Here is a 13,581-nt window from a genome sequence, read left to right as displayed (position 1 = left end):
GCAGTTAAATGTGGTTATGGAGCCTACTGCCTGGTCTTATACTCTCACTTTCCCAACCACTAGCTGTGTGACCTCAGATAAGTTGTTTAACTTCTCTTTGACTTGGTTGCCTCACACGTAAAACGAAAGTAATTATGCGTATGCCATAGAATTATTTGTGGATTAAATCAGTTAATAAATGTGAAACTGCTTATAATAGGGATTGTTAATGTTATATAAATGTTATGATTATTATGTTGAGTGTTCAGAATTTACATGCAGTATCATCTATGCAATCAGAAGTGAATAAGGGAAGACTGTTTTTCTTCCTTCAGGGGCATTCAAAATATAGAAGTCTCTCCTTATCTGAGACATCAGAAGAGATACTGTTGTACCCTATAGTCCCAACAGAAAAGAAACTGAAGAATTTATATATTTTGTAAAATTTAATTCATTCACCAAGTTACTTTATGAGAGAACAAATGTCAATTCCTATTTTATAGCAAATAAAACAAGAAAGAGAAAAACAGTGGGAATCCTTTATAGCCCTGCTGCAGGGAGGCAGGAAGACCGCCTGCCTTATATCCTCACCGTATTCTCTCAGGCTTTCCCTGCTAAGAGTTGTTAGATTTACAGTATAAGAGATGACCCACAGTATGTTTAAATCCTAAAAAGAAACGAAAAGAAAAGAAAAAAGTTGGATTAAAACAGTGTTGTACTGTATTTCTGAATTTAAGGAAATATTAGCACTACATAAACACTAATATTTTCAAGGACCATTATATTTTATTATTTTCTAAGTCTAATTCTTTTATTCCACAAAAAATCTCCTATTGGGCCAAGTTATTGGACTTTTGGCTAAGAAGGACAAAAAAGTGCACCTTTGAAGCCAATGTTGAACCAAGTATAGAGAAGTTATCTAGTAAAGAAAGGACATCTTAACAATTAATTTAAGCCTCTAAAGGGAAGAAACAATTTTTTCCTTCTGATTTATCCAGATTGTCTGTTGGTGTGTTACCAATTTTACTATGAAATAGTAAAAAACTCTCTGTTCTCTCCTAGCTGAAGAAAAACAGCTTATATATTGTTCTTTTAACTCTTCTGAGATAATGTGACCCAAGCAATATCATCGATGTTCTTTTTCTTCTTTCATATCCCTATCTGTTTTATCCTTGACATAGCATAAATCTTAGTTGTTTTAAGCTTAGGGCTGTATATGAAAACACCAACACCCCACTGTCGTGCAGCTGCATACATATTCTCTCTTACCTCTGAAGTTTTCCTCATCTACAGCAGCAGTGCTAGGGGTCAAACACACAAAGGTGCTGTCCCTCAACGCAGCAAACACCGCCATGTGTTGTATGTTTGATGAATTAAAAGGATGCTGCCAACTTAATTACACTGTAACCCTTCAATAAAGGAAGGGCAGAGCTGATTAACTAGTGAATAATTGGGGGCTGATTGATGGCTCTCTCCCTCACTGCTGAAGGCTGTATATATAATTATTTTGCCTTTGGGCCTAATTTTGCCACTGTTAGCTTCCACTTTTGTCATCAGTTGTAATTTATAGTTGAGTCTTGCAGCCTTAAAGAAAAAAGGGGAATACAAAATGGAATAGCTCTGATCCTTAGATATGTCACCTGCAAAAGGCCAGCAGGAAGCCTTGAACATCAACATTTACTGTCATTTAATAGTATTAACACTTCATGCTTAGCTAAAAAAATTATAATTTTTCAGTGATCATAATATCGATTTCTTTGAGCTTAAAATGATATTGTGTCATCTAGTAGGTTTGGATGCACTTTTAGTTCAAGATTGATTTGTTAAAAGTCAAAAGAATTACATAATGCTCTTTTTTCTCCAAATGTTCCCTCTTTTTAATGTACTAGCAAAGCTGTGAATATTTTTTAAAGGCAGCAGGGTATAATTTCTTCAACGGAAAGTTTTTAAAAATCAGACATCCTCAGCAATCATAAATATTAGCATAAAATGACCACTATGACTAAAAAATAAATCCAGTACCAGAGTGTATATGAAAAATACAATATCTATTAAGCATTTATCATGTACAAGGTACCGTGCACAATTTGAAAAATATATACAAAGTAATAACAGTCATGTGCTAAAACCTCAGTATATCAAATCCTTAACTTAAAATGTAGTATATGAAATATTTCACTCATAAAGCTGTTGTAAAACACTGTGATTCAAATAAAGCAGACCAGTCATAGCAAAGGGCTTTATTGTGGATACTCCAAGTTTTATGAAGAGACCAACCCCTTACCATAAAGGGGGAAAATAAGACTAAAGAAATGACTTAAAGATTGCTATTTTCCTCACCATGCTAAAACAATGCAGATGGCTTTATATTCCAGATTTTTCTTTCCTTAGTGGTCATAACATCTTACGTGTATATTTTTGGTAACTAATTTTTAAAATACTGCAGTGGCAAAGTTTCTAAATTATAAGCCAAGATATGCAAATTTTCCCTCTCAGATTTCCTTTGTTGTTTTGTCCTCACTGAAAACTTTCTAGCCTGTGACTCACAGGACAATTTGAAGAATCTTTCAGTCAAAGCTCAGTAGTGTGCCAGTGGGCATAGGCTAGGAGAAAAAAAAATAAAGATTGATATTTGCCCTCTCTTCTTATCTGCACTTAATTTATAAGTCAATGTGGGTATACAGGAGAAATAAAGGCAGAGACCTTGATGCCTCCCCGTGGAGAATATGCACCATTTGGATTGAAAGCATGAAAGAGGGGAAATTAATGGTAAGCTGTTCATCTGTCACTACTGCCAGCCTGATGTTTTTGCAGAGAAAGCGAGGACTTATATGACATGCCCTCCAGTGAAGGGCAAGTCTGTCTGCTATTCTATTATAAACACAGTGCTCTGGGTTTCAGAGGGATTTAAATGTACTATAAGACTGTACTTTGGATAGATGAGTATTTATACAATTTTATTTTGCAAAAGTATTAACTTGTAGAATTCTGCTTGTTTTAAGAGGAAATCATATTTTCTCCCTCTCCCCATTTTTCTTCTGTCTTCATTTCCTTCTTTTCCTTAAAAATTAAGTCAAACCTTCTGTTTGACGATGTGGCTTGGGCCTTTTACATTTGGCTAAATTTTTCTTGTATTTTCACATTGCAGTAAAATGTAAATAGATCCTAAAGATTAGGCACATGAAAAGTGGAGAGGACTTAGTTAAATTTCACTGTACAAAATGTAGAAAATGACTGCAAAATTTAAAATGTAAGGTGTGATTTTTTATTTCCATTGAATATAAGCACAACTATGAACATATTGTGAAGTACCCAATTGACAGAGGGAAACATAAATAAAAATTTGATCTTGTGTGGAAGATAAAGGAAGTCATATTTCCTTATTATTGCCATGATTTATCATGTTAAGAATTGATATATTATCGGAACACTCGATGCTTTCAGTGGGAAATGGAGTAGTACAGAAATTGATGGCAGAAATTAAAGTTTAATATTCTTCACTCAACTTTCCAATGTAACAAAAAAACTCTATATTCTTTATTATAAGTAAAAGGGAATTTGGTATATGTATTTACTTTCGTTATTTATATTATCTTTATTATTGAATAATTGTTTTACAGAAAATTGACCAAAACAAGAGAAAAAGAAAGGACATTAGCATTGTTTTAAAGTAGAAGAAGAACATAAAATAGAAACAAAGTAAACTTTTAGTAATTTGGTGAGGGTCTAATCCATTATTATGTTCTAACTAAGGAAACATTTTCAATAGACATCAAGTAAACCTCAATACAGAAAGGCAGAAACATTTCAGTTTCCTTACAAATGCATGAAATAACAACTATAATATAAATAATTCAAGAAACCTTTATTTCATGGAAATTAAAATATTATTTTTGTAAATATATATGAAAGGAACTTCAGCTTCTGTTCCGATATATACCCATACATGTGAAGACCCAGTATGCTTCCTTCAAGAAGATTACATTTTAGTAACAGAATAAAGTAAGACAAATATGCAAGTAACTAAAACAATGGCAAAAGCAATATTTCCATGTGAGCAGTAAACAAAACAAAATGAAAATGTTAAAAGTTCTGTGAACTCAGCTGCAAGACAAATTAATCCTGAGTATAAAAGAGTAACATGAACAAAGTGGCATTTTCTATGAACTTTAGACAGTTGGGAGGATTTAGAGTTCATGAATGAGGAAGAGGATTTTCAACTAGGGAAAGATAATGCTGGTGTGGAGGAAGTTCAGGAAATGGCAAGTAGTCCAATTTGCTGGAGTAGGGAAAATATAAAGGAGAGTTGTGGGTAATAAAACTGGAAAAGAAGAGTTGATTTGTGCTATAAAGAATTTTGAATGCCATGATAAAAAGTAAATTCCTTATTTGGTAAGCATGGAAAATCACAGAAGAATTTTAGTTAAGAAGAGGGTAAACAAGATGAATTTGATTATTTAGTAAGATTGATTTAGTAGGAGATTATAGCATAGATTGAAGTAGAGGGAGATGGAGAACCAGAGGCCACTTAGAAGGCAACTGTAACTAAGGATATGATAGGTAATAATAGTCTGGATAAGTGGACAAGCAGTGGAAATGAAAGAAAAGAATACCTTTCAGCATTCAGTGGAGGTTGAATTCATAGGGCTTTTGTAGCTGAATGATGGCTGATATTGAACTTGGATGATAGAACAATGGAAGAATCATACAAAAAATAGGAAAAAATAGAAAGAAGGTGGAAATACCTTTGAATTTAATTGAAAATTCAGGACTGGAGCCCACAGGAGAGGTCGAGATTAGATATTGAGCTTTAAGAAGTATCAGCACCAAACCAAAAAACATTTTAACATCGCTCATTTTGATTTTTAAAATTAACCTCCAGAAACATTGTGTCGCACACAGTACCCTGTGTTTAGAAACAACTGTAGCAATCAACCACATCAGAACCCTTTTTTGGTCATCTCTTAATGGAGTATTGACAAATCAACACCCCTGGGGTGAATTTCAGTGTAAAAGAATTATACACTGTTGATTTCTCTGGCCTGTTTGCTTGGGTTGAAACATTTATTTCTCTGAAAAAAAAAATGAAACCCTTTAGGCAGAGAATCAGTTACTAGTTTAGTATTATTTATTTTTTTAAAAATTCTATCTGCTTATGATGCCTTATATGTGTGTATGTGTGACAGAGACAGGGGAAAGACGGAGGGAATTAGAGAGGAAGAGTGACAGAGAAAGAGGGAGAGGGAAAAAAGGGGGTAAAAGAGAGGGAAACAGACAGACAAATACAGAAAGACACAGAGAAAAAAGAGACACAGAGAGAGAATCAATATGCAAAGATGCAGTAACATGTAGGCAAAATAACATTTTTGTCCATGAATGATCAGAGACAAAACTCTTATTTGAAGATGTATATTTTCAACTACAGTAGTCTTCTGACAAAAATTTATTTCTTTTGTAGTTTAGGGAAAAGGTCTTTGTAAATATTATAAACTGAAATGCTATTCCTCAATTTCACCCTTTGTATTATTCCCAAGACCTCATTTGGTGGATTTCTGTATAATAATAGATAACAAACATTTCAGCTCTTTAAAAAACCCTGGAATAAGTGATGTTATAGACTAGGATGTTGGTAGATCTAGGACCCACCAGATCTCAGAGCTAGGCCACAAGCAAACTCTCAAAATCTACTTCTAGACATTAGTATTTGCAATGGTGAAACAAAAAAAAATTACTTTTACAATAAATATTTAAATGCTTAAAACTGTTTAATGCTATGACTATCTCTGTGGAATTACCCTTGAGATTCAGAAAGGTACCTAGTTTGTTTGTAATTAACTGGCATAGCCATATGTCTGGGTCGATTATCTCAGTTATAATACTAATGAGGATAAAGTTACAAGTTTGATTACATGAGTCAGTTAGCATCCAGTTCTAATTTCTACAATGTCACAGCCTGAACATAAACTCCATATCTCAGTCATTATGAGAGAGAAAACCGTCATAACACTAGTCCCAACAGAGGTGACATAGGTCAAATAGCATGAGAGTCAAAAAACATCAATGCACAGGGCTTATTACAAGATTGTTTCCTTTACATAAGGATATAGACACAAGTGCTTCTTGGAAAGGGAAATATTTCAGACTATTTATAAACAATTATTCAATGACTATGAATATTCAAGAAGTTCAGAATGTGGTATCTGTTACATGGAAGGAACAGTTGGTTAGTTTCTATAACTCAAGCCATCTTGCAATTCCTCATTACATGTCTTTTGCACGTGTAAAAATCCCTTTGACAAAATTCTGTTGTTCATTTTGGAAAATAAAATACCAGTGTATTTGATCCACATTTGCTTTATAATGTATTTCAGTAAAGGGATATTAACATCACTCATGCTACTGAAGGGCAAGGACTGAATTTTTCTATTATGTTAATCTTCATATTCCTATAAGCATATTATATGGTTAACTAATTGATTCTATGCTGGTTTAAAACTGAATCAAACCACCTAAGAAACCATGGAGTCACTTTAATCCCTGGGAATCAGCTTTTCAAAACACGATTCAGATTTGTTTCTTTGTTTGTTTGTTTCTTTTTGTAGGCCCCAGAGTGGCTAGAATAGAGCCAGGTACACAATAGGTGTGCAGTAAAGAAAGAATGGATGGATGGATGGACGGATGGATGGAGAGAAGAATGCATACATCTCCAATCAGGCCTTGGCCTCTGGTCTTCTGTGCCTTTCCCATGCTTTTAAAGTGGTGGTGATTTGTATTTAGATTTTACAATCTTCTTTACATATACTGCTTTATCTTATATTTTTTGAAATATTTTGATCAGCAATGTAGGCATTGAAACTAAGTGCTTTGAGGCCCACCTCAGGGCTAGGTTTGCACCTGTGGACATCAGCTTCAAGCTGGCCCCCACAGTACCAGGCTCCATACAGGCCTTGGTGACTCCAGGCTTAAAGGCTTTAGGCCCATCCAGTGCCACGTCAGCAGAAAACTCCAAGCTGACCCCTGAAGCCTTAGGCTACAGGCCCATTCACAGCATGAAGCCAACCCCTGCATCCCCAGGCTCCAAACCAGCACTTAGGGACCCAGGTTCTAGGCTTATCCTTATGCCAGAACAGTACCCAATGGCCTCACCTCCCAGCTGGATATCACAGACTCAGCCACCAGGCTAGTGCTCATAGACTCAGCCCACAGGCCAGCTCCTGCAGATATGGTCTGCAGGCTGGAAGAACATCAGACCAGCCCATGAAATCCTGTGCTTCTGCAACCCAGGGTCCAGGCTCATCCTAGTATACCTTAGGCCGAGGTTAGACCCATCAAAGCCATTCTTCAGGCCCACCTCAGCACCAGAACAATCCCTGTAGCATCAGGGTATAGGCCAACCCCCAAGGACCTATATTCCAGGCTAACATTTGCAGAGCCAAGATTCAGACTGAATCCCATAAACTCAGGCTCCAATTCTGCCCCAGTTCCCAGTCAGCTCCCATGGAATTAGGCTTCAGGCCAATCCCTGTGGACTCAGGGACTAGGACCATCCCTGAACCAGGCCTGACCCCATGGACCCAGGCTTCAGGATGGACACCAAAGACATGTGCTTCAGGCTTCTTCCTACAGATCCAGTTGACAAGTCCACTCTGGTGGACTCCAGTACTAGGCTTGCACCACAAACCCAGGATTCAGGTCTACACAGAAGGCCCAAGCCCCAGGCCAGCGCCTTTAGACTCAGATGCCAGCTCTACCCACCTGCTGACTCAGGCATCAGGTCAGCTGGCTTAAGTACTTGAATAGAAGCACTACATGTGGACCCCACCTGACAGCCTGCCCAGAATCTCTGGACTATCTTATTGATGAAGGGTTTTCCCTGTCAAAACCAGTCTGCAAAGACTGGGATAGGTGTATATTTCTTCAAATGTGCAGATACCAGTGCATGACTGAAGGAATGATGAACAATCAGGGAAACATGACACTACCAAAGGAAGAAAATAAAGCAACGGTAACCAACCCTAAAGAAATGAGGATTTATTGACTGCCCGAAAAAGAGTTCAAAATAACCTTCATGAAGAAGCTCAGTGAGCAGCAAGAGAACAGAAAGACAAATTAAAAAATCAGAAAAATAATAGTGAACAAAAATTAAAAGATAGAAACGACAGTAGTCCCTACTTATTTGTGAGTTTTCTTTCCACATTTTCAGTTAATTGAATTCAACCATGGTCCAAAAATATTAAATGAAAATTTTGAGAAATAAAAAATTCATAAGTTTTAAATTGTGTTGCATTCTGCTTAGCATGATGAAACCTCATGCCATCTTGCTGTGTCCCACCTGGGACATGAATCATTTTCCTTTGTGCAGCATATTCCTGCTATCTATGCTACCTTCCCATTAGTCACTTAGTAGCCCTCTCAGTTATCAGATTGACAGTTGCAGTATGTCAGTACTTGTGTTCAAGTAACCCTTATTTTACTTAATAATTACTCAAAATGACAAGCATAATGATGCTGGCATATTGTTATGATTGTTCTATTTTATTTTTGTTTTTTGTTGTTAATCTCTTACTGTGCCTAATTTATAAATTCAACTTTATCATAGATATGAATGCATAAGAATAAACAATATCCATAGGGATTTGTATAAGCTGCAGTTTCAGGCATTCACTGAGAGTCTTGAAATATATCTTTCATGTATAAGGGGAGACAACTGTATAAAATAGAAACGCACAAATTGTATAAAATAGAAACACACAAATTCTGGATCTGAGGAAAACAAAGACATGGCCTTGCAAAAAAATGTTTTGATATGACCTCCAAAATTTTTGATAAAATAAAAAATAGACAAATGGGACTGCATCAAACTAAAAAGCTTTGGCACAGCAAAGGAAACAATCAACAAAATCAAGAGACAACCTATGGAATGGGAGAAAACATTAGCAAAATCTACATCGTATAAGGAATAAATATACATCCAAAATATATGGAACTCAAACAACTCAATTGAAAAAAAATCTGATACATAAATAGGCAAAAGAGCTTGTGATAGCTAAGATTAGGTGTCAATTAGACTTGTTTGAGAAATTGTCAGATGGCTAGTATGCATTGTTTCTGGCTGTGACTGAGAGGGTGTTTACAAGAAGATTGACTTTGGAATCAGTGGATTGAAAGAAAAACCTGCTTTCAGTGTGGGCAGGCACCATCAAATCAGCTGGGAGCCTGAGCACAATAAGGTGGGTGGAAAAAGAGGGATACTCACCTCAATTTTGCTTTCTCTTTCTCTATCTTCTGGAGGAGGATGCCTTTTTCTCCTCCCGTTTTTGAATATCAGAGTCCAAGTTCTTCAGCTTTTGCACTCTAGAACTTGCAATAGTTGCCTCCTATAGGCAACTCAGGCCTTTAGCCTCAGACTTGAAGCTACATTTTTCATTTCCCTGGTTTGGAAGCTTTCAGACTTGGGCTGAGCCCCATTAGCAGCTTCTTTGGAAGCCACACTACTGACCTCTCCAGGAATCACACTACTAGCTCTCCTGATTCTTCAGCTTGCAGTTGGCCAGCTGTGGGACTTTACCTTCATGGTCACGTGAGTCAATTCACCTCTAATAAATCTTCTTTCACACACACACACACACACACACACACACACACACACACCACACCCATATTTATCCTATTGGTTCTGCCCCTCCAGAGAACCCTGACTAATACAGACCTAAATAGACATTTCTCAAAAAAGACATAAAAACGGCCAACAGGAATGTTATAAAATGCTCAAACACATTATTCACGAAAGAAATACAAATTAAAACCACAATGAGTTATCACCTAACACCCCTTAGAAGGGCTGTCATCAAAAAGACAAAATATAAGTGTTGGCAAGGACATGGAAAAATTAGAACCCTTGTAAACTGTTGGTTGGAAACACTATTAGTTGAAAACAGTGTGAAGACCCCTCAAAAATTAAAAAGACAACTACCATATGATCCAGCAATCCCACTTCTGGGTATATATGCAAAGGAAATGAAATTAATATGCTGAAAAGATAACTTCGCACACATATTTATTGCAACATTACTCATAATAGCCAAGATAAAGAAAATGTTATAATGTGGTGTGTATATATGATATATAATATTACATATATATGTGGTATATATTTTATATATGTAATATTCAGCCTTTAGAAAGAAGGAGCTCCTACAATTTGCCACAACATGGATGAAACTGGAGGACATTATACTAAATCAAATAAGCCAGACAGAGAAAGAAAAATACTAGATTATCTTGCTTATATGTGGAATCAAGAAAGTCAAACTCATAAAAGCAGAAAGAATAGTGGTGGTTGCTGGAGGTTGAGGCTGTATTACTACCCCACCCCAGTCTCTGGGGAATTGAGAGACATTGGTTAAAAGATACAAAGTTTCAGTTAGACAGAATTAATATGTTCTGGAGATGTAATATACAGCATGGTGATTACAATTAATAAGATTATATTGTATGCTTGAAAATTGCTAAGAGTTTAGACCTTAAATGTTCTCACCACAAAAAAAATGATAAGTAAAAATGAGTTAATGGATATGTTAATTAGTCTATCTCATCATATCACAACGTATACATATATCAAAACTTCACATAGCACACTATAGATATATAAAAATTTTATTTTTCAGTTATCCTTTAATGAAAATAATATTTTAAAAAGAGCATAAACTGAGGAGATAGGTTGAATATGCAGACTAGAGACATTCGACACTTGCCCTTTCCAGAAAGAAGAATCAAAACTATGAATAATCACACCGTGAATAGAAAATCTAAGAGAGAACATTGCTGTACAAAAGAGAAACCACCGGAAATACCTGATGAACAGAGGGAGAAGAAAGTGAGTGACCAGCTTGTCCAAGATTAACAGGAGCCTTAAGAGATTCCCTACTGCGGGAAAAGGGGAAGTGAAGAGACCTTCAGTGGTCCATAATCTGACCATGGACTGCTGCAATTCTAATCATGAGAGGGTTCTTGTACTGACACAAACACTACCATGGGTAGTGATCTGAAGTCTCCACAAGGAAATTGCACCAGACGAGGAATACATTCTAGCTTGCACACTCCCTGTGAGACATAAGCGGTTGCAACATTGTGCCATCGTAAAAGCACAGCCATCATGGGACTGCATCCTTCCCTGGAAACCACAGCTTCCTTATCTCCACATTTCAAGAGCTCCCACTGACACCACCCAGTGTGAACCTGGAGGGCTACAATGGCACAGTCCTGGCTGGACCCAAAAGTGCTGCAGAGTATTGACTACTCTACCACACAGGGAGTACTAATATCCATGGAAAGGACAGTGCAGTGCAGCAAGGAGGTGGCCACTGGAACAAAGGAAACCAGAGCATGTGCTTTTCAGAAGCAACCCTGCTCCCTGAAATGCCACAAACTCTGTGCCCAGGCTTGTAATAGGTGAGTAGAATACCTTCCCCATTCCGCATATGGCTGCAGCAGTTACTGCCATAGGGAGCATAGGCAGGCAAGCCTGAGAGCTGACTGTCTGAGCCTGGGATCAGCAACCCCAACCCCACTGGCATAACAGCCTCTGTTCTTGGGCTTATATGGAAAAAGATAAGCTGCTTCCCTGCTCTGCACACTGCCACAGCCACAGCAGCCCTGTTGCTGCCACTGGGAGCTGGAGTGAGTGAGTCGGAAGGCTGCCTGTCTGGAGCTATGAGTGGCAACTGCACTCCAACTCATGTGTAGAAGATGAGGTCCCTACCCTCCTGTGCAGTGCTGTCACTCATGCTCCACATCTGACAGCTGCATGTCCAGGGCTGTGAACGGTAACAATCTCCCTGGCGGCAAGGTCTCTGTTTTCAGGCCCAAACACAGAAGGCAGGATTTCCTTTGTCTCTCTGCACAACCTTGCAGTCATCGTGCAGCTAGAAACCGAAGCAAGTGCTACACAGAACCTGAAAGCATCCTGTTTGGGGCTCTGAGTGCCAACCATACCCATGCCAGAAGCAAGGCCCCTGTATTCTAGTATGTGTCCTGAATACAGGATCCTCACACACACCACTGTGGCTACTGCTGCTTGCAGAGAAAAAGTGTGCACTCCCCAGAGTCTGAGAGCTGTCTGCAGGGGATTTCTGATAGCAACCACACAAACACCAAGAGTAGAACCACTGTCTTTTAGCATGAATCCTGAGGTCATATTATCCACACCCACTACTACAGATCACCATGTTCTACCTACTACAACTTATGCCTATGCCCCTGCACACCACAAGCGGCCTGAGGTGAGACTTGCCAAGCCTGACACCACCACCTCAGTACCTGAGCATGATTGAGTACCTGGGGATTTCTCTGCCCATTTCACTACCTCTGGCTTATGTGTACTCCCCCTGAGAAAGTGAAAACAGACACATCCAGCCTGCCAGCAACATACCAACAGCACCAACCCACACAAGTCACCTAGGAGCCTAGAGATCAGTCTTCCCAGCCCATCAAAGCTATCATGAACATAAGTATGCACTGCTTGGGACCAAGAGTATCATCCTGCCCTGGTATTGCCATTGTTCATGCCACAACTGCTCAGAAGCCTGAGAACCCACCTGCCAAGAACACAGCTGTCACTACCAGCACTCAAGCAAGACACCTGGAGGCCCAGGAATTTACCCACCTGAACCCACTAAAAAAGTGCCAGTATATGCCATCCTTGGGCTCAAGAACAGAGATGTTTAGTCCTCTGCCACCACCACTGGAACCTGAAGATTGGCCCACCTAGGATCCGTGTCCTGGACAAAACTTTACTACCACATTTATTAATAACTACACCCTAAACCACTGAAGAAATTACAGATAGCACTGATGCTGTTTAGAGGCAAATAAATCATACAGAGACTACAATACTGCACACACCCAGAATAAAAGCCAAAGAACTCTACCCAACCAAAACCACTGACACATATTCAGGAAAAATTCCTCAGGTATGAAAGCAAATTCAAAAAATTGGGAGAAGTGACTACCACAAAAAATGTGTAGAAATCAATAAAAGAACATAGAAAATGTGACAAACAAAAAATGACACCTTAAAAGGAGCACAACAATTCTCCAGCAAGAGATCCCAATAAAAAATTTAAAAATTCTGGAAAATTTTGGTAGTAAAGAAATTCAGTGAGACACAAAAGAATTCCAAAAAACGATACAAACAAATCAGAAAGACAATTTAGAATATTAATGGGAAATTTACCAAAGAGATAAACATCATTTTTCAAATGAAAATTTGGGAACTGAAGAATTCACTGAATAAAATACAAAATTTATTCTAAAGCTTCAACAATAAACTAGATAAAGAAGAAAAAAAAGCTCACAACTTGAGGACGGGTCCTATGAGATAACCCAGTCAGACCAAAATTATTCTTTTTCAATGAAAAAGAATGATTAAAGCCTTTGTGATATATGGGGCATCGTAACATGGCCAATTCTGCAATTTATTGGTATGCAAAAAAGTGAGAGAAGAAAAAAGGTGTTTGAAAACCTATTTAACAAAATAATAGACAAAAAGTTTTGAAGTCTAGCAAGAGATTTGGAAATCCAGATACAGGAGGTTTAGTGATC

At 37.8% G+C, this 13,581-nt stretch overlaps 1 annotated feature.

The window, feature by feature from the left end:
- Positions 582–2,269: an enhancer, noted in NCBI's record as "VISTA enhancer hs426". NCBI's record gives its function as "enhancer in: hindbrain (rhombencephalon)[5/5] | forebrain[5/5]" and the evidence as "EXISTENCE:transgenic organism evidence [ECO:0001131][PMID:17130149]".

The sequence above is a fragment of the Homo sapiens genome, chromosome X, assembly GCF_000001405.40.
Source record: "Homo sapiens chromosome X, GRCh38.p14 Primary Assembly".
NCBI classification, from domain to species: Eukaryota; Metazoa; Chordata; class Mammalia; order Primates; family Hominidae; genus Homo; species Homo sapiens.
This window is presented reverse-complemented; position numbering and strand designations above follow the sequence as displayed.